This window comes from Homo sapiens, chromosome 11 (assembly GCF_000001405.40).
Source record: "Homo sapiens chromosome 11, GRCh38.p14 Primary Assembly".
NCBI lineage: Eukaryota > Metazoa > Chordata > Mammalia > Primates > Hominidae > Homo > Homo sapiens.
Window position 1 is genome coordinate 7,403,078 of NC_000011.10, and position 26,583 is coordinate 7,429,660.

Genomic DNA, 26,583 nt, shown 5'->3' on the forward strand with positions numbered 1-26,583 from the left:
ACAGAAGCTGAGGTTATTGACATGAAATTTTTGTCCTTGTCAAATAGATATTTAGTGCTGTAAATTTCCCTGTAAATACTGCTTTGGCTGCATTCCACAAATTTTAATATGTGTGTTTTCATTTTAATTCAGGTCAAAATACTTTCTAGTTTTCCTTTGGATTTCTTCTTTGACCTATGGATTATTTAGAAATGTGTTGAGGCCAGGCACAGTGGCTCATGCCTGTAATCCCAGCACTTTGGGAGGCTGAGGTATTGAGCTCAGGAGTTCAAGACCAGCCTGGCCAATATAGCAAGACTCCATCTCTACAAAAAAATTTAAAAATATATCCAGGCATGGTGACATGTGCCTGTAGTCACAGCTACTCGTAAGGTTAAGGTGGGAGGATCTCTTGAGCCTAGGAGATTGAGGCTGCAGTGAGCTGTGATTGTGCTACTGCACTCCAGTCTGGGCAACAAAGCAAGACCTTGTCTCAAAATAAATAAACAGAGAGAGAGAGAGAGACACACACATGTATTAGTTTCCAAATACACTGATATTTTTTAGATTCCTTTTCATTATTTATTTCTAATTTATTTCCATTGTGGTAAGAAAATATACTTTGTATGATTGAAATTCTCAAATTTAAATGAAACCTGTTTTATAATTCAAATATAATCTGTCCTGTATAGTGTTCTTGGTGCACCTAAAAAAAAAAGAATGTATATTCTATTACTGTTTGGTAAACGGCTCTTTATAAAATGCCATTAGTTAGGCCAAGTGAGCTGATAGTGTTATTTAGGTATTCAAATCTCTGACTATAATTAGGGATGTGTCTGTATATTTATCCTCACAGTTCTTTTAGTTTTTGCTTCATGTATTTTGAGAGTGTGCTGTGAGGTGTGTAAACATTTAGAATTTTTATACATTTTTAATGAGTTGAGGCCTTTATCATAATGTAATAGCTCTATTTGTCCCTGGTAATATTTATTGCTTTGACATATAATTTGTCTGATATTAATTTAGCCACTCCAGATATATTTTTATTAGTATTAGTATGGCATTTATTTTTATTAGTGTTAATTATTTTTATTAGTTAATTCTTTTACTTTTTATCTATTTGTATCTGTACATTTAAGGTAGATTTCTTGAAGGCAGCATATAATTGAGTCTTGCCATTTATTGAATCAGGCAATTGTTGCCTTTATTTAGAGGTTCAGACCATTCACATTTAAGTAATTATTGGGATAGTTTAGTTTAAATTTACTACCTTACTATCTGATTTCTATTTCTATCAAAATTTGTCTCTTCTAATCTTTTTCTCTTTTCCTTTTCGCTGCCTTTTTTGGATTAACTGAATATTTTTAATCATTGATTTCGTCTCCTTTTTTGGTTTATTAGCTATAACTCCTTGTTTTATTTTAGCCAATTCTTTCAGGTTTAGAGTATATATCTTTAACTTATACTGGCTAACTTGAAGTGATATTATGCCATTTATACTATATATAGTATAAGAAACTTACAACAGTTTCAACAATTCTAGCTGGGGTTATTTGGGTTAATAAAATAAACATTTATGCATCTCAATATCGATTTTTCAACCCCAGAGAGGACTCTAAGTGGTCCTGTTTGGATTATGTGCATATCCCTAAACAAACAACAGTGGACAAGGGCATGAATGCTTTGGTCAACCTGAATTCCCGCAGAAATTTCTGAAGGAAATTCATAAAGGTGGGAAGGAGTTCACCAAACAACCTAAGAAAAGGAATGCAAAAGTGCACGGATTAGACAAAAACTACAGTGATCAAAGGCCACTACAACCATACAGATCACAGAAAGAGTTTATAGATCGACAGATAGAGAATTCACATCAGCTTGCTATAAATTCCCAATATATCTTTCTAACAATACCATATTTAGCCACACAAAGCAGGGGTAAATGAAGCTTTCTTTGTATGGTGTTTTTCTTCCCCTTGTGCTTTCCAGGGTACCCAGCTGTCAGTAACACTTCTTCACATCTGATACCTGTCAAGGTTAAAAAAAAAAAAAAAAAAGCCAAATACTCTGCCACCCTTTATATTTGACTTTTATTATCATTCCAGAAAACTTTTAGTAAGAATCTAAGCATTTCTGTGTAAATCAGAGTTCCTCAACCTTAGCACTATTGACCTTTTGGACTAGATAATTTTTTGTATTGAGTGGCTTCCCTCTGCATCATCCCTGAGCTCTACCCACTAGATATCAGTAACACACCCTCCTCCACAGTTGTGACGAGCAAAAATTCCTCCAGATAGTGTCAAATGTCTCGTTGGGGAGCAAAATTACTCCCGGTTGAGAACCACTGATTGAAGGGAATGTTTACAAACATCAAGAGCTACAGCTTCTTGACAACAAATCAGCATCAGCTCATGGGGAGAAAGCAGAATTAGCATCAGATGCCAATGAACTCTTGTTCCATATCCCAGCAAGCCCATATCTCCTCAAAACATAGTGTCTGTTGTTTACCACTGATGATTTAGCTCCCAGCATCTGGAAAAAACAATGCTCAAATACCACAACCACAACAAATGCTAAAAGAATAGGTGAATGGATGAATAAATTAATGGATGGATGAATGAGTGAAAATTTAAAAATCTGGATGATTATTCACACTGTTGCTCTTGGGAAATGAATGACATAGGCTAGTATATGTATGAGAAAATGGGATATTTTACTATTTTACTTGAAAATTTCTATATTGGAATTTTGTCATTTTAATTTTATAATTTAGAAAACTTTAAAGGATTTATTTTACAAGCACTTGAAAATAAAATCAAGCATTTTCTCCTTGAGAACTTTTTTAAAAATTTGCTTGTTTTCATTAGAAGAGTCAACTAATATTTATTGAGCATCTTTTATTGTTGAACTAGGGGCTGTTCTAGGCAGCTGGGATGCAACAAGACAGAGAAAGTTTCTGTTCTTATAGAGCTTACATTCCTTTTTTTGATACAAAATATTATAGATATATATGGGGTACATATGAATATTTATTACATGCATAGAATGTGTCTTCGTCAAGTCAGAGTTTTTGGAGGATCCATTATCTTGAGTATTTATCATTCCTATGTGTTGGTAACATTTCAAGTCCTCTCTTCTAGCTACTTTGTAATATAAAATATATTGTTGCTACTATAGTCACTCTACTCTGCTATCAAATATTGGAGCCTATTCTTCTATCAAACTGTATGTTTATATCTACTAACCAACTTCCCTATATCCCACCTGCCACCCACACACCCTTCCTACCCTCTGGTATCTACTATTCTAGTCTCTATCTCCATGAGATTAACTTGTTTAGCTCCCACATATGAGTGAGAACATGTATCTGTCTTTCTGTGCCTGACTTATTTCACTTAACGTAATGACCTCCATTTCCATTCCTGTTGCTGCAAATGACATGATTTCATTCTTTTTTATGGCTGAATAATGTTCAATTGCGCATATATATATATATATATATATATATATATATAGCACATTTTCTTTATTAATTTGTCCGTCGATGGACACTTAGATTGATTCCATGTCTTTGCTGTTAAGAATGCCCCTGAAGTAAACATGCAAGTGCAGGTATCCCTCTGATACACGGATTTCCTTTCCTTTGGTTAAATACCTGGTAGTGGCATTGCTGGATCATATGGTAGTTCTATTTTTAGTTTTTGGAGAAGACTCCATGTTGTTTTCCATAGTGGTTGTACTAATTTACATTCACACCAACAGTATATAAGAATTCCCTTTTCTCCACATTGTTGCTAGCATGTTATTTTTTGTCTTTTTAATAATAGCCATTCTAACTGGGATAAGATGATATCTCAATGTGGTTTTATTTTGCATTTCCCTAATTACTAGTGATGCTGAGCATTTTTTCATAAACTTCTTGGCCATTTGTATGTATGTCTTTTCTTGATAAATATCTATTCATGTCTTTTGCCCACTTTTAATGATATTATTTGGGTTTTTAAAAATTTTTTAGTTGTTTGAGTTCCTTTTATATCCTGCATACTAGTCCCTCATAGGATGAGTAGTTTGCAAGTATTTTCTCATTCAACACATTTTCTCCTCACTCTGTTGATTGTTTCCTTTGCTGTGCATGAGCTTTTAAATTTAATAAATTTAATATAATCCCATTTGTTTATTTTTTGTTTTATTGTCTGCTCTTCAGGCAGGCCTTAGCCATGAAATATTTGCCCAGAATGATGTCTTGAAATGTTTTCTCCATTTTTTTAGTAGTTTTACAGTCTCAGGTCTTATGTTTAAGTCTATAATTTTTTTTTTTTTTTTTTTTTTTTTTTTTTTGAGACGGAGTCTCGCTCTGTCGCCCAGGCCGGACTGCGGACTGCAGTGGCGCAATCTCGGCTCACTGCAAGCTCCGCTTCCCGGGTTCACGCCATTCTCCTGCCTCAGCCTCCCCAGTAGCTGGGACTACAGGCGCCCGCCACCGCGCCCGGCTAATTTTTTGTATTTTTAGTAGAGACGGGGTTTCACCTTGTTAGCCAGGATGGTCTCGATCTCCTGACCTCATGATCCACCCGCCTCGGCCTCCCAAAGTGCTGGGATTACAGGCGTGAGCCACCGCGCCCGGCCTTAAGTCTATAATTTATCTTCTGTTTATTTTTGTACATGAGAAGCCATAGGTATCCAGTTTCCTTTTTCTGTATGTGGATCTCCAATTTTCCCAGCACCATTTATTGAAGAATGTATTCTTTCTCCTTGGTGCCTTCATCAAAAATCAGTTGGCTGTAAATACATGGATTCATTTCTGTACTATCTATCCTGTTCCATTTGCCTATAAGGCTGTTTTTATACCAATACTATGTTGTTTTGGTTACTGTAGCCTTTTGGTACATTTTGAAGTCAGGTAGTGTGATGCCTCCAGCATTGTCGTTTTTGTTCAGAATTGCTTTGGCTATTCAGGCTCTCTTTTGGTATTATACACATTGTAGGATTGTTTTATTAATTCTGTGAAAAATTACATTGGTTTTTTGATAGAGATTGCATTAAGTCTATAGTTGCTTTAGGTAGTATGATTTTGTTTTTTTGTTTGTTTGTTTGAGATGGAGTCTCGCTCTGTTGCCCAGGCTGGAGTGCAATGGCATGATCTCTGCTTACCGCAACCTCCACCTCCCGGGTTCAAGCAATTCTCCTGCCTCAGCCTCCTGAGTAGCTGGGATTACAAGCATGTGCCACCATGCCCGGCTAATTTTGTATTTTTAGTAGAGATGGGGTTTCTCTATGTTGGTCAGGCTGGTTTCCAACTCCTGACCTCAGGTGATCCACTCGCCTCAGCCTCCCAAAGTGCTGGGATTACAGGCGTGAGCCACCATGCCCAGCCAGTAGTATGGTCATTTTAACATTATTAATTCTTCTGATCCATGAGCATGGGATGTCTTTCCATTTGTTTTGTCCTCTTCAATTTCTTCATTAGTGTTTTGTAGTTTTTCTTATAGAGATCTTTCAACGCCTTAGTTAAATTTGTTCTTAGGTATTTTTTGTAGCTATTGTAAATTGGATTACCTTCTTGATTTCTTTCTTGGCTAGTTCATTATCAGTATATAGAAATGCTACTGATTTTTGTATGTTGATTTGCATTCTGAAACTTTACTAAATTTATCAAATCTAAGAGTTTTTTGGTGGAGTCTAGGTTTTTCCATAAGATCATATCATCAGCAAAGAAATGGTTGACTTCCTCTTTTCCAATTTGGATGCCTTTTATTTTATTATTTCATTTTTTTTAATTTGTTTTCCTCAGAGATCCTTGTTCTGAATGATGCCTTTTATTTCTTTGTCTTGCATGATTGCTCTGGCTAAGATTTCCAGTACCATGTTGAATAAGAGTGGTGAAAGTGGGTATTTGTGTTGAGTTACAGATCTGAGAAGAAAGGCTTTCATCTTTTCAGTAGTAGTGTTCATACTAACATTCAGTATGATGTTATCTGTGGGTTTGTCATAGATGACCTTTATTATTTTGAGACATGTTCCTTCTGCACTTGGTTTATTGAGAGTTTTTATCATGAAGGGATGGTGTATTTTATCAAATGCTTTTTCTGCATCTATTGAGATGATCATATGATTTTTGTCCTTGATTTTGTTTATGTGATGTATCACATTTATTGATTTGCATATGTTGAGCCATCAGTGCATCCCTGGTATAAATCCCATTTGGTCATGGTATATTATCTTTTTGATGTGTGTTGGATTTGACTTGCTAGTAGTTTGTTGAGGATTTATGTAGTTTTCTTTTTTGTTGTGTCCTTGTCAGGTTTTGTCACTGGGATAATGTTGGTCTCATATAATGACTTGAGGAGAGGTCTTTCCACTTTCGTTTTCTGAAATGGTTTTAGGAGGATTTGTATTAGTTCTTCTTTATATGTTTGGTAAATTTCAGCTGTTCATCCATCCAGTAGTTGGGTTTTCTTTCTTGGGAGACTTTGTATTACTGATTCAATCTTGCTACTCGTTATTGGTCTGTTTAGGTTTTCTATTTTTTCCTTATTCAATCTTGGTAGCTTGTATATTTCCAGAAATTTATCCATTCTCCTAGGTTTTCTGGTTTGTTAGTGTACAGTTATTCATAATCGTGTGTGATGATCTTTTGTATTTCTGTGGTATCAGTTGTAATATCTCCCTTTTCATTTCTTGTTTTGTATTCTGTGTTCTTGGTTAGTCTAGCTAGTGGTTTATCAATTTTGTTTATCTTTTTTTTGAAGAATCAACTTTTCATTTCATTTATTCTGTGTATTTTTTAGTCTATCTCATTTAGTTCAGCTCTTTATTATTTCTTTTCTTCTAATTTTGACTTTGGTTTATTCTTGCTTTTGTGGTTCCTTGAGATGCATCATTGGGTTGTTTGTTTGAAATCTTTCTACTTTTTTGATGTAGGCATTTATTGCCTATGTCAAACTTCCTCTTAACACTGCTTTCACTCTATCCCATTGGTTTTGGCACATGTCTTATTTACATTTGTTTCAAGAAATTTTTTGCTTTTCATCTTAATTTCTTAATTGACCCAGTGGTCATTCAGAAGCATGTTTTTTAATTTCCATGTATCTGTAGGTACCAGAGTTCCTCCTAGTATTGATTTATTGTTTTATTCCATTGTGACCTGAAGATACTTGATATGATTTTGATTTTTAAAACTGTTGAGAATCGTTTTGTGACCTAACATATGCTGTATCCTGGAGAATGTTTCATCTGCTTAGAAGAATGTATATTTTACAGTTGTTGAATAAAATGTTCTGTAAGTGTGTGTTAGTTCCACTTGGTCTAAAGTGTAGTTTAAATCCAATTTTTTGTTGTTGTTGATTTTCTGTCTAGATGATTTGACTAATGCTGAAAGTGGGGTGTTGAATTTCCCCAATATTATTTTATGGGAGTCTGTCTCTCTCTTTAGCTCTAGTTATATTTGCTTTATGAATCTGGGCACTCCAGGGTTGGATGCATAAATATTCAGAATTGTTGTATCATACCTCTTGCTGGATTGATCCCTTTATCATTATATAATGACCATCTTTGTCTTTGTCATTTTTACTGTTTTTGACCTAAAGTCTGTTTGATCTGATCTAAGTATAGCTACTTCTGCTGACTTTGGGTTTCTGTTTGAGTGGAATTTTTTTGCATCCCTTTACTTTGGGTGTATATGTATCTTGACAGGTAAAGTGTATTTGTTGTAGGCAGCATATAGTTGGATAATGTTTTCTTATATATTCAACCAGTCTATATATTTTAAGCAGATTATTTAATCTATTTCCATTCAATATCTCTTTTTTTTTTCTTTTTGAGACAGAGTTTTGCTCTTGTCACCCAGGCTGGAGCGCAATGGCGCAGTCCCAGCTCACTGCAACCTCTGCCTCCCAGGTTCAAGTGATTCTCCTGCCTCAGCCTCCCAAGTAGTTTGGATTACAGGCACCTGGCACCACGCCTGGCTAATTTTTGTATTTTTAGGAAAGACGGGGTTTCACCATGTTGGCCAGGCTGGTCTCAAACTCCTGACCTCAGGTGATTCACCTGCCTCGGCATCCCAAAATGCTAGGATTGCAGGTGTGAGCCACCATGCCCGGCCTCAAGATTGCTTTTAATATGCAAGGCTTTGTTCCTGCCATGCTCTTAATTGTTTTCTGATCGTTTTGTATGTTCTTTATTCCTCTCTTTTTTTCTAATTGTCATTTTGGTTTGGTTGTTTTCTGTAGTTGTACCATTTGAATTCTTTCTCTTCCTCATTTGTGTGTTTGGTGTACCAGTGAGTTTTATACTTTGATGTGTTTTCATGATGGTAAATGTTATCTTTTTTATTCCGGGTTTAGGACTTCTTTGGATATTTCTTCTAGGGCCAGTCTAGTGGTGATAAATTCCCTCAGCATTTTCTTCTCTGGGAAGGACTTTTTTTGTGAAGGATAATTTTGCTACATAGTATATACTTAAGTGGCTTTTTTTCTTCACCACTTTGAATATGTCTCTCTTGCCCTGTATTGTTTCTGCTGAGAAATACTTTCTTAGCCTGATGGGGTTTCCTTTATAGGTGACTAGACACTTTTGTCTTGCTGTTGTTGGAATCCCCTCTTTATCTTTGACTTTAAGTAGTTTGACTATAATACGCTGCAGAGAAGACCTTCTTGCTCTGTATTTGTGTGGGGTTCTCTGAGCCCCCTATATGAGTCTTTTCTAGATTGGGGAAGTTTTCATCTATTATTTCATTAAATAGATTTTCTAATCCTTTCATTCTCTCTTTGCCCTTGGGGACACTGATAATTAGAATATTGAGTCACTATGTTGTCCCATAGGTCACAAAGCCTTTCTCATTCTTTTTTATTCTTTTTATTTATTTTTGTCTGACTGGATTATTTCAAAAGATTTCAAGTTCTGAGATTCTTTCTTCTGCTTAATCTAATCTATTGTTGGAGGTTTTGACTGTATTTTGTATTTTATTCAATGAATTCTTCAGTTCCGGAATTTATGTTTGGTTCTTTTAAAAAAAATGTGTATCTCTTTGATGAATTCTTTTCCAATTTTCTGTATTGTTTTTCAAAATTATCTTGTTTGCTGAGCTTCTTTAAAATCAGTAATTTGAATTATTTACCCATGATTTCATTGATTTTTTATTGGTATCTGTTGCTGTAGAATTATTGTGTTCCTTTGAAGGTGTCATATTTCCTTGCTTTTTCATGTTTCCTGTGTCCTTATGTTAATATCTGCACATCTGATGTAACAATCACTTATTCCATGTTTTTTAAATTTGCTTTTGTAGAGAGGACTCTTCTCTGAAGATTATCTATGATGTTGGTTGAGTAGGGCACTTTGGCTTTGATTTTGGATGCAAGCAATAGCGTAGTTTCTGTATGATCTCCTTGGCTATAAATAGTATCAGTGGTATCTGTGATTTATTTCCTTGATAGCTTAGGGTGTGGTTATTAGTGGAGGCTGTGGTAAAGTTTTCTGGGAACTAGGTTATTAGGTAGGCCAGTGGTACAGCAGTGGTCTGAAGATGCCTGTCTTTGAGCCCCAGAGTGATGTATGCTGGCTCTGGTATTAGTGGGTCCAAGTGGGCCAATTACTGGGCTTCCAGGTGGCTTGCTGAAATGCTAGTAGTGGCAGCAGTGGGCCTGGCATGTGGACTGGTTCTCTTGCCCTTGGTCAGCAGACTTGATGTGGGCAATGGCAATAGCAGTGATTGGGCCACTCACTGAAATCCAAGTTGGTCTGAGCTGTAATGGGTTGGATGGGCCAGTCTCATGGTGCTTGCAAGTGAGTGCCAATTGTGGTGGTTATCAGGGGGTTGAGTTGCCCGCACCTCAGACCCTGGGAAGAGTGCACATGTGCCAACAGTAGTGGACTAGGCTGGGTGATTTCCAAGCCCCTGGATGGCATGCTCAAGTACTGAGAAGACAGGACTAGGTTGGCAGAATTGAGACTTGTCCTCAGGTCCCCTGGTAATATGTTCAGGCATGGCTATGATAGGTAGGAACAAGGTGGTCCCCAGGCAGTCAGCAGAATGCTCAGGTGAGGGCACTGGTGGCTTCAGTTCAGGGCTGCCACTGGGGAGGGCACAGACACTCTCATTGGGAGCAGCATAGGTAGGTAGTTGTGCAGCATGTGATTTGCTCATGCCTCAGTCCCCCAGCAGCTTGCAGCTCTAGTGACAGCGGGATTTATCCTTAGGGTACACAAAAGTATCTGGCCTCATCTCCTCCCTGGCCTGGTGGTAGCATCAGTGGCATCAAAACCAGGGCAAGACATAGTCCTTTAGGGGCTCGGCTTTCAGAATGTCACTGTGCTGCTCAGGGCTTACAGGCCTGTGGGTCACAGCATGAGCTCCCTCTTTGAAGCAATACCACTGTGCAATTTCTAGGCAGCTCTCTGTGTTAGTCTCTAGGCCTGTGAGGATCGAGGGGCTCTCCTGTCAGTAAGATAGTATGTGGTGGGAATGTGGACCCTGGGAGGTCTCTCACTTACCCTTTCCCTGTGTTAGGGAGCTTCTCCCAGCTCCCAGCCAAACCCCCCGAGCAGGCTACATTGCTTCCATTTCCTCTGTTACCTTTGGTGCTTCCTGTCACTTTTTTGTGGAATTCCAGTGTTCTCTCTTAGATGATCTATTCCAAGTGTGAATATCTACTTGCTATTTTGGTTCTTTTCCATGGTAGAGGCACATAGCTGCCTGTTGTTTGTTTGTTCCTTTTTTTTTTTTCTTTTTAAGAGACAGCATCTTGCTAGATTGCCTAAGCTGTACTTGTACTCCTGGGCCCAAGTGATCCTCCTGCCTTAGCCTCCAGAGTAGCTAGGATTGTAGGCACGAGCCACTGCACCCAGCTAATTTGCTATTTTGTAAAGTACAAATATGGACTTTTGCCTGGTTTACATTCTGAATATACCATCAAGTCTGAGGTTTGATTTTTTTCTCTTTTAACTTATGAGCAAATAGCCATATTGTATAAATATTTTTGAATGGGCTTATGTCGGAGGAAAACAAACAAACCACCATACCTAGCATGGAAGTAATCTGACACATCACATTTAATTATGTGCCTCAGCCTTGAGGGCAGAGATTAGACGGCATGCATTTTCACATCCCGAACCTTACAAAGTGTGTGCACAGTGCGGGCCCTCAGGAAATGTATGTTGAAAGAATTGATTAGGAAGTTTCATAGGCATAGTTTTGGTTAATTCTGTATTTACTTTGCCAAACCAAGATTTTCTGAGAAGGATGAGGGGAGAGGAGAGAGCTAGGTGCCGTGAAAAGCCTTTTAAAGGAAGAACAGAAGTTGAAGAGCAAAGTGGGCCAGGGAGTCAGGAAACAAAAGGGTGATGTGTGGGGACAGCTGTGGTCTCTCTTTCCTTTCTGCCACCAGCAGGAGGCTGGGTCAATCCTTCCCTCTTCAGTAAGGGCAGACACTGCTCCTGCAATGGGGAACCCAGCACTGCAGAACAAGCCAGAGTCTGCTGTGTGTAAAACCTCCAGTCGTATAGAATTCTAGTCCCCAAGCCCCCATATCTCCCAAAAGGGGAATGCCCAGTCACATGGGTCCCTTGAGGTCATGGCTCCAGGAACCAGCAAAGCCTAGCTTGCAAGGAGAGGTCATTTATTTACACTGGGCAAGCAATGCATGATGCAAGAAGACACAGAGTCTGCCTTAGTGACCAAAGAGATCCCTTTGCCTCATTCTCCTGTGGAAGCAATCAAGAAAGGGAGGTTGGGCGAGGTGACCTTCCAGAGCCGAATCTGTGCTTCTAAAAATAGAAGCATCCTTGGAGAACTGAGAAGGGGAGGGAAAGCTTTGGACATTGAGGGCAAGAACCTGAATCCCCAGAGCATTGTCAGTAGGAAACTGTATTAATTAGACACAGGCACCTCAGCTCGATAACCTCAGGTATCTCTCAGAAATTGAAACGAAATGAAATGGCTTTTTTTCCCTCCTTTCTGGTTATACTGTCCCTGAGCTAAAAAGGAGAAAGAGAATTGTGTCTTCTGACCTATCTGAATGGCTGCACAGTGCCTGAGATATCTTCCCCAGTGGAGGGAAATGGGGAGTCTTTAGAGGCACGCCAGCAAAAGAAAAGAGCTGCTGCAAAGTGGAACTGTGAAAGGCAGGCAGCAGGGCCACCTGGGGGTCTGGGTCTCTGTTCTCTCCCTGCAAGGAGGCTGTGCGGGACTAGGCGAGTACTTGGCTGTGTCCAGGGCTCTGAATGTGTGGGCTCGCAGGGTGCCACTCTCAGGCTCATGCAGTGTCCTTGTTTGGAGCTATGCGATAGACTGTAAGTTTCCAGGGTCCAGTGGAGCCGTGTGCTGGTCTGCACAGATCGTATGCAGCCAGGGTGTGTGCTGAGCTCTGTGGCATGGGGATCGCGTGTGGGAGATTGGAGGTATGCAGGAGTACACAGGGAGGATATGGTCGCAAGTTTGAGGGGGCTGTGTACGGGAGTGTGTGGGGTGGTGTGGAAACCTGTTGAGAGGCTTCATGATGCTGCATAGGGCTGTGTGCAGAGCTACCCTGGGCCGTGGGTGGGGCACTACAGTACTGGAGGGCACCTGTTTGTGTAACTTTGACTTAGAGGCTCTGTGTGCATTGTAGTAGTGATATGAGTGGAGCCACATAGGGGAGTCTGTGGAGGATTTGTTAAGGCTGTGAGACTTATGCACTGGAGGATGTGTTCTGGGCTACCTGGACACATGAGTCTGTACAGGGCTGCCGGTGACTGGATACATGGTGGCAGAGGCCTGAACAGGGTTACAGCTTTGCCATCCAAAGATAGGCTGTGCCTCCTCAGGGTGAGGTGCTCCCAAAGTGCAGGGATTTATTATTCTCCCTGTGACTGACATGAACGGAAGAGATACCAGGGATTCTACAAGCTGAGCAAAAGGGGCAGTGTGTTCCCTTTCAGTGTGGCCTGAAGCTGAGCCTCTTGCACACCAGGCTGGAGACACTTTCTAATACTTTAGTTTGTGCTTTCTCAACAGGACAACGTGGATCTGGGAGAGCTGATGTTTTCCCTGTGCTATCTTCCAACGGCTGGCAGGCTGACCATTACCATTATAAAAGCAAGGAATTTAAAGGCAATGGACATAACAGGAGCATCAGGTGGGGCATTTTCAAATTCAGACTTCCTCATGCACTTCTACTGTAGTAAGTACCTTATAAAGTTTTAGTATGGTAATAAAGCACATTGACTCTGGAACCAGACTGCCTAGGCTTAGCCCTAGTCCTAACACCTGTGTGACCTTGGGCAAGTCATTTTACCTCTCTGAGCTTTGGATTCCCATCGGTAAGATGAGAGTAATTATAGCGTCTGGCTCACCGGGCTGTTGTAAAACTGAATTCATAAATATAAAGCCATGAGAACAGTGCTAGCATATATTAAGTGCTACATATTGTTAATTATTGTTATTATTACATTTAGCCTTCTATATCCACCAGTTCCACATCTGTAGATTCAACCAACGATGGATTAAAAATACTCAGGAAAAAAGTAATACAACAATAAAAATAATACAGTTTTTTAAACAATACAGTATAACAACTATTTACACAGCATTTATGCCTGATTAGGTATTGTAAGCAATCTAGAGATGATTTAAAGTATACGGGAGAATGTGCGTAGGTTATATGCAAATACGATGCCATTTTATATAAGGGACCTGAGCATCCTTGGATTTTCCTATCTGTGAAGGGTCCTGAAACCAATTCCTTGTGGATAACAAGGGACAATAGTACTCTCTTGGGTCTCCCTCACCATAATTGTGAATTGGACCTACCATTTACACACACTGATAAAGCTTATCTAATTGGGTCTTTCCTCAAATATCATCATCCCAGGCTCATTGAAGACTGAGAACAATCCTATGTCCTTATTAAAGGGAACTATGAATTTTAGATTTTTCCAGTAAACCAAGCATTAAATTCTGAACTCTAACAAGAAAAAAAAAATGCCTCTATATGCATTGCTAACTGTGCAAATTCACAAGCAACCTCTGCAGGTGTTTCCCAAATGTGGTCACAAAACACCCAGTACACCCTGGCTTACATCCTCTGAAATCAAAGAACATCAGATGCAATATATTCTGCATCCTATATCCCAGTGTTTTTGTTTTTTTAAGCAGAAAGAAAAAAAAGCTGTGGTCCCTCTGGTCATCTAAGTCCCTACTGGACTGCATATAGGAGTCAGAGCAATGCATGGTTATGCAGGTGAAAATAGAACAAGGACTTCCCAATAAACAGAAGAAGAGTGAGATAGCTGTTAGGACCAGAAGAGCCCTATCTGGAGCAGAGGCCAGCCTTGCCACCTGTTACCCCATCACAGTGTTGCACCCCAAGGAAGCCTGTGGCCTTTCTCTCCCTGATATGCTGAGCTGCTTCTCCTTTTGCAACCCAAGGGCAGGCCACTCTAGGGGCTCAAGGTCTCTATACTTAAGGAATTCCACTCCCAGATGTTCTCTGTCCTCTAGGAATTCAGAAATTCAGAGTCTAGGAATTCCCTTTCTTAAAGACCTGAAAAGATTCCCTGAGGTGGCTCAGAGCTGGGGGGCCTGTTTTCAGCCTTGGAAATGCTGGTGCATTTCTCTTGCTATCCTGGCCAGGCCAGTCTTGAGTTCTAGCTGGAATGTCTCCTAATTCCTTAACAGATGTTTTCAAACTATTTTTAAATTACACACATTTTCAGGAGACAGTATCCTGTGCTTTTTCTTGAATGAGTGACTTAATTATCCTAACTAGTTGCTCCCCAGATATCATATTAATGACAGTCCTCCAACTCCAGTCCACAGGCAGGTAAAGGAGTTCAGCATACCATAGTCCATGAAAACTCACAGTGATATAACTGCCCACCTAAATCTATACGTATCCTCACAGTACTCCTGCTTCTCATGGTCTGTCCAGATCCCTATGTGAAAGTCTCGCTGATGTGTGATGGCAGACGACTGAAGAAGAGGAAAACATCCACCAAGAGGAACACCTTGAATCCTGTTTACAACGAAGCCATAGTCTTTGATGTCCCTCCCGAGAACATTGACCAAATCCACTTGTCCATAGCAGTCATGGACTATGACCGGTGAGATACCTGGAACTCTTTTCCAGTGCAAGTTCACTGTGCCCAGGACTGGGAAGGCAGAGGGGGAGCAGCAGCCACAGATTCTTACCTGGTGTCCCAGGCTGCAGGAAATGAGTCAACTAGCAGTGCATGGGAAGCACATTGACAGGAGTCACCTCTAAACCATGCTGTAGAGTCAGACTACCAAAGTGTCTCTCAGCACTCCCATTCTTTTCTGCCCCGTTCTCATTTTTTTTCCTATTCCTACATCCTCCCCCAACCTCCACCTCTTCCCCTTTTCATCTTTGCACAACTCCTAGAATCTCAGCTTGGAGAGCTGTGGCCCCACAGGTTTTATCTTCTGTCAGGCAGTGCTAACTGCCCTTCATTGGAAGGATTCCACTCAAAATGGCAGAATGATTACTTTCGCCAGACCATCAACATTTCCAAATACATAACTTCAATCTTTTTCCTTCTCACAAGTATTTAATAAAGATTGTTTCCTTCTACTTAAGTCTGAAAACAAACACAGAAATGTTCTCCTGAAAGTGCTAGAATCAGTATGGATGACAAGGTACATTAAAATGTATAAGATGCTCAACTTTTTAATTAATACAGCACAGAAGAGATATTTATAGCCTGCATTGTAGCCAATTGTGTATTTAAAGGACAGATTTGAAAAACAGTCATTTTAATATGCAAAGGAAGTACCAACAGGGAATTATACATGTTAAACCAGTCATTAGACTAAAATGCAAAGTCTCTCTTTAATTGGAAACCTCCCACGTGGTCTGGACACAATTATTAAAAAAAATATTCTGACTTCTAATATTATTTGTGACTAAGAATTTTCCCACATACCTCTGAAATATCAGGAAGGCAGCTTCAGTGACCTGAACACTCTTTCCAGCAGATGCCTGCGTGAAGCATGACAGTCTTCCAACCCAAGGAGCACGTGGGTTGGCTCAGCTGCCCATGAGTGTGACAGCCCATGCTGAGCAGTAGACCTTGTCCCATCTCCTGTGGGCAAGAAACAACACCAACAGTGTCAGGCCCCAGTAGGGGACATTGCCCACCAACTGTGGAAGCCTAGGCCAGCAATTTTTAAGCTATTGCCAAGTTTCCTGCATGGACAAATCTGATTATGTGAGCTCTGCCTTAATTTAATTCTCAGTAAACTCATGAATCTGGCCTGGAAAAATTCATGGCAGAATTCATGGGGCTTCTGCATGCATTTGATTTTAATGGGCAGAGACTCAAATATCCTTCACGTGACCTCCCCACCCTCATCTCACCTTTATGCTCCATACACAAATAGGAGAAAAATCACTCATCTTTGCAGGAGGGAAAAAAAAAAGAGAAAGTATGTGAGTTTGGATCCCATAGAATTAAAGAATTGGCCATATCAGTCCAGTTATACCAGGGACTTTTTAAAAAACTGCTAGAGAAAACAAAAATGTCTCAAGGCGGGGACCTACCTAGGGAGAGTTTCAGAAATATTAGCCTTGGCCGGGCATGGTATCTCACACCTGTAATCCCAGCACTTTGGGAGGCTGAGGCAGGTGGATCACTTGAGGTTAGGAGTTCGAGACCAGCCTGGCCAACGTGGTGAAACCCCGCCTCAACTAAAAATACAAAAATTGGCCAGGCATGGTGGCATGCACCTGTAATCCCAGCTACTTGGAAGCTGAGACAGGAAAATTGCTTGAACCCGGGAGCTGGAGGTTGCAGTGAGCCGAGATCATGCCACTGCACTCCAGCGTGGGTGACAGAGTGAGACTCCATTTCAAAAAAAAAGAAATATTAGCCTCAAGGTCAAAGGAGCTATGTATCTTTCTATAGTTGGGAAACTAACTGGGCCAAAGAAGCTGAACTTAGAAGAAAGGAGGGACAAGTATAAGACAATAACAGTATTCTCTAAAGAGAGGAAGCAGGAAGATCCATAAGCCTCCTTCACTTACCTTAGTTTGTGGGCTGAAGACCCATGGCTGCCAGACACAAAACTGCTCCCTCACCCATGCTTGGTTGCCTCTTGTGGGAATTAGAGCAGCCATTATTGCAAGAAACTCATTTCAGATGACTCCCTCTTTATTACATGGAGGCCAGCCTAGATCCAGGACGAGAGGTGGCATCCTTAGCACAAATCGTGGGGTTCTTTGAACAAGGTTCTTGGAAACAAGTTGACCCATGTCAGTTTTAGGACAGCCAGGGTATACGTTAGATCCCAAGTCCTATTGGCCGTGAAGCTTAGCCTGTAGTTTTAAGTGAGGAAATGAAAAAACAAACAAACAAACAAACAAAAAACCACATCCCCAATTCCTTCATCAGTTTAATTGAGTAGCTATTGATCTTACATACCAAAATTTTAAGAAAAAACTATTGTGGGCCATTTTCACAGTGTAGGTCACAATGAGATCATCGGCGTGTGTCAAGTAGGCAACGAGGCTGAGAGGCTGGGCAGAGACCACTGGAGTGAAATGTTGTCATATCCTCGGAAGCCCATTGCACACTGGCATTCCCTGGTGGAGGTAAGACCCTAATCCACATGCTCCACTTTGCATAAGAGTAAATGCTTTACTGTTGAAATGCAGGAGCTGCCAAACATATGAGTGCACCAGGATCTATGGTCATAGACGGGTTTTCCTGGTTGCATTTCCTGGGGCTGTTGGGACTTGCATTCAATTTGAGGCTGAATCTGTGCTTCCCACCAGTCTGGTAGGTTTTGAGTATTGATCAGAGATCATCCCTCATTTTGATTGTATTTTTAAAAGATCAAGATTCTCTGCTTCTGTGTTAAGGCTTTGGGTTGGTACTTGGAGGGCATCTGCAAGGTGTGGGTGAGTGGGGACTTTCAGGCCTTCGTACAGTGACTTGAGACTGACTTTGGAAAAAACATAAGGCCTTGATTCTAAGACCAGCTCTGGCACCAACCTGTGATTCTGGGCAAGTGGGTTAGTATCAGGTTCAACTACATATAATAAAAACCAAAACAACCAATTATAAATTAAAAACAAATGAAATGAGAATTTATTTCTCTCTCTTATATACAAAAAGTCTAGAGGAAGGCAGTCTGGAGTATCTTAGCAGCTCCATGATCAACAAGAGACCTAGACTTCTGTCTTTCTGCCTCACAGTCCCAGTGTGGCTTTGTTCCTTGAAGTCCCCTCATTATACAATATGGCTGCTAAGCTCCAACCATTGCATATTTTCTAGGCCACAAAAATGTGCAAAAGGGCAAGAGCCAAAAGGGCACACATTCCCTTTTTGATTCTCTTTGAATTCTCATGCAAGACTGCTATTTACATTTAATTTAGTCACAAAACTTAGTCACGTGGACATGTCAAGTTGCAGGGGATAGTTGGAAATGTAACCTTTTTGTTGGGTGTCAATGTGTCCAACTAAAAACCAGGGTTCTGTTTGCAGAGAAGAGGAAAGTGAAAACCTGGAGTCAACCGGCCATCATTCTGCCACTCACATCCTCATTCATTCACTCCCTCCCCCTTTACTTCTCATTCATTCTTCCCCTACTTATCTTTGCTCATTGATTCACTCTCTTATTTATTCACTAACTTGTTCTCTCAAAAATAATTTGCACTCCCTAAGTAACATGTCTGAGGGTCCAATGCTATAATAGCTACAGAAAATACAGATATGAATAAGAAACAGTCCTTTCCCTTGTAGAACTTACAGACTGTAAAATAAACAAAAGATGACATGTAAACTAATCTTCGAGAGGCACAAATACAAGCATTTCCATCCATATAAAGTGCTACAAAAGCGCAAAGGAGAGAGATGTTTACTGTGCTTAGAGGAGATTGTGAAGCATCTCTCCTTCATGCTCTCAATAAGTAAAGAGAACTGAGCCCCCGGGAACTGGAAAGCCAGGAGGGCAGCAGCAGTTATTTACTGAGGATGCGTGGGTTCCAGGCAGAGAGCTTTCCTCTGTTCTCCTGGTGCAGGAAGCTCTCTTCCATGCAAAGCCATCTGAGAGGCCAAGACTAGAGCCTCACCCAGTGTGGGCACCCCTGCCATTGATAGTCAGGTGAGTCTGGTTGAAGTGAACACAGGGCGGCTGTGGAGAGGCAGAGAGGCAGAGAGGCCCCAAACCCAGACAGGGGAACCAAGGGACATCTTTGTTGGAAGTGGGGCAGGAAGGAGAAGGCAGGACAGGGTTTATGGATTCTAACCATCAGGGCACCCAGATGTATTCAAGAAGAGCCTAGGACCCCCTAATTTGCGGGTTCTTAAGGATAGTTCTGCCCGTGGGCCATAGGAGCAAAATTGATCCCTAAGGGAGACCCACAGGATCTATGAGCCACTTGAGAAGGAGCTGGAGACTGGTGCTCACTGAACTATACCTCACTTCTTCAGCTCCTGGTGGAATTCTCAAAGGAGTCCATCTGTGGGCTCATTAGATTTTGGGGGCCTGTCACTAGCAGTGGCATTTAGAAGAGTTGTAATAGACTTTTTGCACCCTTATGAGCCATTGCTGACTTTAATTCTTATTGGTAATTAGGAGTATCAGAGAGTGTTAAAGCTCTGTGCTTCTCAGGAAACAAGAAATGAGAAAGGAGTAAGGATGAGGTGTGTGGTGTAGGGCTGAGAGGTGAGCCCTGATTCATGCACAAGCAGTTTTTTTTCAGTGACCTGGGCAGGGGAGTAGTCCTGGGTGGAGTGTTGCACACGGGTCCCTGAGTGGCAGTATATGCACGTGTTACACAAAGGAGAGTGCAGGGAGCAGGCCTTGGAGGCCTTTTCCTTCACTGTGGAGAAAAAGTGTGATATAAATTCATTCACCTGAGAGATATTCCTCAAACCCCAAACACTCAGCTTTTTGGAAATCTGTGCTCCACAGTTATGTAACTGAAAAGTAAATGCCATTAGGGTTAAACCACTGAAACTTAGAAGTCATTTGTTACAGCGGCTAAAATTACTTTGGCCAATACAATGGTCATTTCTGAACTGTTACAGCAGAACTAAGGAAATGAAATGCCTGTGGGGCTTATATGAAGGGCAAGCCTTCATATAAGCAGGGGGAGGGCAAACCTTCCTATAAGCAGAGGCAGAGGGAGGCTGCCTCTTCCCCGTTGCTTCCTGTCTCTTTGAAGTACACGTCTGGGACTCCAGATCCATCCTGAGAGAGGAAGTGATGCTTTTTCTTTTAAAAATGAACATTGAGCTGGCAGAATTGGGGCAATGGTACCAGATGAGATGAAAAACAGTATTGGAGAGGTTGGCCATGCTTCGTTAGCAGCTGTAAGGATGGAGGAGGCAACAGGCAGACTGGCCAGAAACATTCACTTTGGAGTTGGAAGGACCTATATTCGAATTGCTGTCCTGCCACTCACTAGATGTTTGTTTTTCCCCTTCTGAACCTCAGTGTTCTCATCTGTAAAGTGGCCATAACAGTGCTTGTCTCACAAGAGGGATGGTGAGGATTAAACAATCTATTTATATGAAATGCAGCATTGTAGCTGATATATAATAAACACTCAGTAAAGTTTTCAGTTATAGTTGTTATTATGTATGCCCCACATTCTGAGGGGCTGCTGTGTGTCCTTATGGGCCTATGTCCTGTGAAGAAATATCATCCATGTGTGTCATGGAGAATAAGAGAAAGGCCGGGAATCCACCACTCCTGCACCCCAGTGAGCCATCATCTCAGAGTGGGGGGAAGGGGTCATCCAGTACTTGGCTAAACACAGATGCACATATTTAAGTTTTGTTTCTTTCCTCTTTTCCTTGGCCTTAAAGACAGGCTGCTGTTATGCTCTCTAAGAACCTTTTAAATGTCTTCTTTAAAACAAAAACCAGCAATTAAATCTCAGTGCTCATGATAACAGAGTATGTGAGTGTGCACTCATGAGCATGTGTGTATGGAAGACAGAGAGAGAGGGAGAGAGAACGAAGATGGGGGCCCTGGGATTTAGCATGGAGGGAGGCTGGCCTGGCAGAAGCTCTTCACTGCTGAGGAATTGGTTAGGTCTAAACTCTGAGCCCTGCAGAGATCTGGCAGCCTGCTCAGGGTTGCATCCAATACACCCTGACCTTGCCAGGGCAGGTGGCAGATGGAATCTTCAAAGCCAGTGAGTTCAAAAATCCGTTTCTCTCGCAGGAATTCTGGATGAATTCACTGCACACTCAAAGGTCAGCCAGTAGGGCTCCCTTTACTCCCCATGATGCCAAAGGTTTGGAAAGCTGTGAAAACTCCCCCAAGCAGACTGCCTAGGGCTTAGGAATCGGAGCACCCCCTCCATAGGGCCTCAGATGACAGAGCTCTAAGAGCTCCCTTAGCACGGCACCCTCCTCCACCAATTCAAGAGAAGATGGTTTCGGCCTGGCCATATCACAACACCTTTCCTGCCTCCTGTATGTCAAGATGACCAACATCATAAGCCTCATGGAGAATAATAGGAAATAGTTCCAAGTTTTCATCGCTTCCCTGTGTAGTGCCATGTAACATCTGTTGTATGAATAAGTACTAATCTTGGTTTGGTGGGAAGACGAGACACAGACACTATCTGGTTAAATGAAATTTCACTTTTCTAAAAGAAGAAAGAGAATCCGATCAGAATATATAGTCAAGATCAGCACTATTATCCTATAGGCATAGGTGTAGGATTCCAAACACCAAAGTTCTACTCAAGGCGTGCCCCATTTTGGATGTCTGCCTCACTCCAAGCTCAACCTTTGTGCATACACGTACATACAGCTACAAAAGTTCTGCATGTCTGACTGTCTGCTGGGACCAGCTCATTGAGCCTCCTGCCCCTCTTCAACTCAGAATTACATAATGCCAAGTATAACCAGAAGGCAGTTATGGTACAATATGCCCAGACATAAACAGAGCCCTCATTTATCACCCTCAGCCTCTAGAAGGGTATAAACTTAGAGTCAAAGGACTACAGCAACTGTCAGTTACCCAGACTTGTAGTTACACAAGCAGCCCGTGTAAACCATCTCTAGATATTATCTGTCAAGTGTCCAGCAGGGCCTATCTGGAGTCTTGGAGATCCACATATTCCCAGGAGAATGTATCTGATTGCCCAAGATTTGATTAGGTGTCCATCCCGGTGCAATTTGCTGTAGGTCTGGGGTCATGAAAATGTGACCTGGACCTACCTCAGCAGGAGTTTTGGGAGTAGACTTCTTGAGAAGAGTCCGCACAGGACAGGGAAATTGTCTAAAATGAACATGAATGACTGTTTCCCAAAGGAATTTAAAGTGAGGAGTGAGAGGCTTTAGCACTGTGGCCAAATTGTTATTCACAACAGATTTAGGAAAGGAGCAATTCACCAGGAAAGATGGGAGTGGGGAGAGCATGGGGTGACTGGGAAAAGCCACGTAGGAAATCAGGTTCCCATCAAGGGGATTTGGGTGTGTTGCAGGGCTTGGGTCTTGTTGAGAACCAGACTAGCAGGGAAGAACACTGAGACAAGACAAAAAGAAAAGCATGGACTGAAACGTACAATAGGGAAAGTCCTAGAAAGTGCTGCTACTCAGCAAGCATTAAGGCCCCCAAGACTGCAGGTCTTTGGAAACACCTGAATTCCAGACCCCTGTCAGTTGGTGGGGAACCAAGGCTGCCAATTCCATGCATTGCCCTCTGAAGGAGTGGCTTATGGGCTAGATAAATGAACATAGCAAAAGCCTAATACGTGTGTTAGGGGATGGCGAAAGAGAAGTGAGCAGTCAGGACGTGGAGGGCTACATGCTGCTGCAATATCTTGCCCATATGATGAGGTGCTCCCCCCCAATATAGTCCAGCATCGTGTCTCATGTCTCAGTGTCTCTGAGAACAAAATTTTTGTTATGAATGAAAACAGAAAAAACAAGAAACATTTAAATCACATTAAAATAGGGCAAGAAAACATAAATTTATTTATTATCTGAAAGGATACATACCATCTTGGTAAGAAACAGGAAGAGGTAAATGAACTTTATCTTGCTAATTAGTAGTTCTCGGTCTTTTCCAGGTTATGTCAGTCTCTTTGGGATAATTATTTTCTCCTCTTCCTAGGAGTCTCCTCTCTCCTTCCTTCCTCCCTCCCAGCTAGGTATAGGGAAGTACAAAGGCTACCTCGTGGCATTGGCTGGAACTGTGCATATTGTTCTGCTTGTCTTTGGGCATCAGACTTCATCATCACTACCTCTGCTGCTGAGGATCATGGCTGGTGTAACTGTGGGCTATAGTCTCAGCATAGAAACTTGGCCACCTTGAGGCTGATGAGACCCCACATCAGCTGTTGAAGTCCCTGTGGATCCCTGAGGGCAGGTAGCACCTCCCACTCAATGCTTGGCCTGGGAGCTTTTCTTTGCAGCCCTTAATACAGAGTCATTCCCCACTTGGTGGAATTCCCTGAAATTCTAACAACCAATACTCTCACATCCTTCAGGCATTTGGGCACACAAGGGAGCCACAGGAGACTCAGTGCCATCACAGGCATCTTCTTCATGCCTATAAAGTTACATGGTCATTTCTACATTGTTCCTCTAGCCTGTGTTGGCCCAGGGGTCATGTTTGCCTTAAGCTTCCCCCTCAATCCATCTAAACTTGGGGTTTCAAGCCTGAACGGTAAAGCCAGAACCTCTCCTCCTCTCTTCTCTGTATCTCTTCTGCCAAAGGGTCTCTGCTTCCTCTACCTGTCTGGTGGAAACAATATATATCTTAGCATGATTTCCCTCTACCTATGACTCACGCTCAGACCTCCAAGGTTTCCTCTCAGCATGTAAGGAAACATTTGGAATTTGGATCCCCTTTTTCTCAATAAGGCCTGGCTTTAAGATAAAGTTGCATGGTCATTTCTACATGTAACATGAAATAAGATACTTATTTCATAGGAGACTAGCTGATCATTTACCTTGAGTTATCAGCCCTCAGCTTCCAAGAATATATGGCGTTTATTCAATGCATGCATTTTCTGATTTACAGACAATAAGAACATTATCTCTGTTACGTAGGTATTGAGTTAGCATTTGGTGAACAAATGAAAAAAAAATGAATGAATGAGATATATATAGAATGAATTGAGTTCCCTTCGTTCTAAAGTTCCAGAATTCCCATGCAGTGGAGTACACAGTAGAAGTCAGTTCAGACAAGGTGTAAAAAGGTATTGAGAATGGATTTGTATTAGGCTGTTCAAATAGAGATGGCCCTTATTAAGCTCCAAGTTTTAATTACCTTTTCTCTATTTAGGAGAAGAACATGAAAAGGGACCAATTCCTCCCTTGGTTCCAATAAACTGCCACGTAATGACAATGGCTTTGCATTTTTGAATAATGAGAAATATTCAGAACTGAGGCCCCTTAGTGAATCATGAGGGTCCCCCTCTACTTGATGTAGGCAGCCAAGTCCTAGAGCGCTCAATATGTCCTTTCATAAGAGAGAAGAAACACACAGAGATCCCAATGGTGAATGGCAGACTGCTGTGCCCTAAGTGAAAACTGATCAGGAGGTGACAAGGACTTTAGCCCACAAGTTGACCTTTCTCACTAGGAATATATTTTAGCAGCAGTTTTACACAAGGTAATGCTTTGCCCCATCTACCTGTGAAGATAAAGAAGAGAAAAATAATAGGAATGGGGTATTTTTTGACAAAATGAAGAAATTATTCTTCAGATTTTGTTGTAAAAAATAAACTATTTTGAATGGTGAGATTTAGCATGCCAGCACGCATAAACACCTGCAGGGCCGCTGAAGCAAAACTGATTGCAGAGAACATAAAAATCTACTACAAGTTTAGGATCTGAAAAACATTAACAGACCTGTTAGAATTTGTGTCAATTGCTGTAAGTGGCCAGAATGCTGTTTGGACAAGCAGGCACTGTTAGTATTAGTGGGGCATTGTGTTTCCAGCTGGTAGAGGTTATGGTTAACAAACAAAGCTAGGGCCATTCAGACCTTCCCAAGCAAATCTTCTTTCTTGTATTGAATTATCTGTAGAAAAAAAGAGAGAGAGACGGTAGGCATTTTCTCATCTTTGTCAGGGATGGGTGACTTTTGTGACTTTTCTGAAGGTTTGTAGAGATAGTAATCATACAAAACATAGGAGTACTTAGGGTAAACACTAGAGGTATAAAAGATAATGACAATGTGGTAGAAAATAACATTTCTGCCTGAACAGAAAGTCAACTGCATCTTGACTCTCCTGTCATTACAGATGACCTTGCTCCAGTAGTCACTGCCTTGGAGCATCCCTGCTGCACACTTGAATAGCTATTAAATAGGAAGGTGGATGACAATGGGCTTGAGCCATCAGCTGTCTCCATCTCCAGGGATGGCATTCAGAGGTGATTGCTAACATGATAGGCCAGTTCTTTCCCCGCAGATGAAATGAACCAGAGTGGTTTATGCCACTCTCTGAAAGAAACACACTCCCTCCTGATAGTGTGGTGGGAGGAAGACTGTTCCCTCCTGGGGAATGGGGCCTGGGGCAAAGGCGGAGCACCCTGGCAGAGGACACTCAGGAAGCCCACTGCTCCTGGATATGAATCTTTCAGAAGACGCACTTGTCAAATGCTGTCTTCCAAACATCACCAGAACAACCTATTGATAAGACAAAGCTGAGTTTATTGCTTTCCCAGGTAATGGAAGGGGAAGGGCAGAGTCTCATTTGTTGAGACTTTGAAGTGTGGTTTAAGGTGGGTCTCTCCATGTGACGAGGGAGATGAAGTGGGGAGGTGGGGACCTTGGTTAGGTTTGGATCAGTGTCATGATATAATAGCTGAGGTGGAACAGCAAGTTGAGGATTTTGAGCCTGGGATTCAAAGAGTCTTGGGGTGTAAACTGTTGATGCTTTCTAAGGAATAGAAATTGGGAAGTCCCATGAGTGAATACTTAAGTTGTAGTAATGAAGACAATAGAATAGTACAGCCAAATTAATGGAGGGTCTGTGTTGGAATAGGTGGTTTTAGTACTCACACTCCAGCAACAAAAAGCAGAAGGGAACCTCACAAAAGATCCTGCCCAGTCCTGTGGGCACCCATACACCGACAGAGTGAATATTTATTAGTTGCCTCTCCAGCATCAAGCCCCTTTTCTGATGGCCCTGATTTCTGATTAATGATTCTAGGGAGCCTGGCTCCATCCTTGTCTCTGGTGATGGTACATATGACAGTTCCAGGCTAAACCTGTCAAGCTAACCATAAGGATTACCACTGCATACGCTGATTCAGTCCAAGAGTATTATAAAACATTTGGTGTGAATGTTTGGACAAAGATGCTCTCTCTTTCTTGTTGGATATAAACAAAGCACTATATACCCTGGGAGCAGCTGTGGCTTCTTTGGATCTCTATAGAAGATCCAGGTTTAGGGAGAAACCAAGCCCATAGATACAAAGAAACCAGATTCTCAGTCATGTGGTTGAGCTCCTAAATCAAACCTCTCCCAAACATAGTGTTACCTCTGGCCTTTATAAGTATGTAAACGTATATATTCCCTTGGTTGTGTAAGCAATATTAAGCAGAATTTATTTTATTTGAAATGAAAAACATCTTATTTAGGATACAGGTGAACACTCACACTGCCCCAGTTGGTGTTCTTTGGGAGTGAA

The 26,583-nt window shown here is 41.4% G+C and overlaps 1 protein-coding gene across 8 annotated transcripts in view, besides 2 other annotated features; it reads left to right on the forward strand.

The window, feature by feature from the left end:
• Window positions 1-26,583, forward strand: part of SYT9 (synaptotagmin 9) — a 230,266-nt gene that overhangs the window by 164,300 nt on the left and 39,383 nt on the right. For 7 of the 8 annotated variants that reach the window (XM_011519902.3, XM_047426379.1, XM_011519901.3 and 4 more), the window contains exons 4-6: window positions 12,965-13,085; window positions 14,880-15,051; window positions 17,429-17,558. In XM_011519902.3, coding sequence (XP_011518204.1) covers window positions 12,965-13,085; window positions 14,880-15,051; window positions 17,429-17,558 — 423 coding nt within the window. Of the gene's footprint in view, window positions 1-12,964; window positions 13,086-14,879; window positions 15,052-17,428; window positions 17,559-26,583 lie in introns of those variants that run through there. The other variant, XM_047426380.1, reaches the window with a different exon arrangement.
• Window positions 14,622-15,821: an enhancer, noted in NCBI's record as "MED14-independent group 3 enhancer chr11:7438930-7440129 (GRCh37/hg19 assembly coordinates)". NCBI's record gives its function as "activates an origin of replication core promoter dependent on BRD2, BRD4, P300/CBP and CDK7 cofactors, and independent of MED14, by STARR-seq in HCT116 cells {active_cell/tissue: HCT116}" and the evidence as "EXISTENCE:reporter gene assay evidence [ECO:0000049][PMID:35650434]".
• Window positions 20,014-20,073: a silencer, noted in NCBI's record as "silent region_3109". NCBI's record gives its function as "represses an Ori minimal core promoter by ATAC-STARR-seq in GM12878 lymphoblastoid cells {active_cell/tissue: GM12878}" and the evidence as "EXISTENCE:reporter gene assay evidence [ECO:0000049][PMID:35858748]".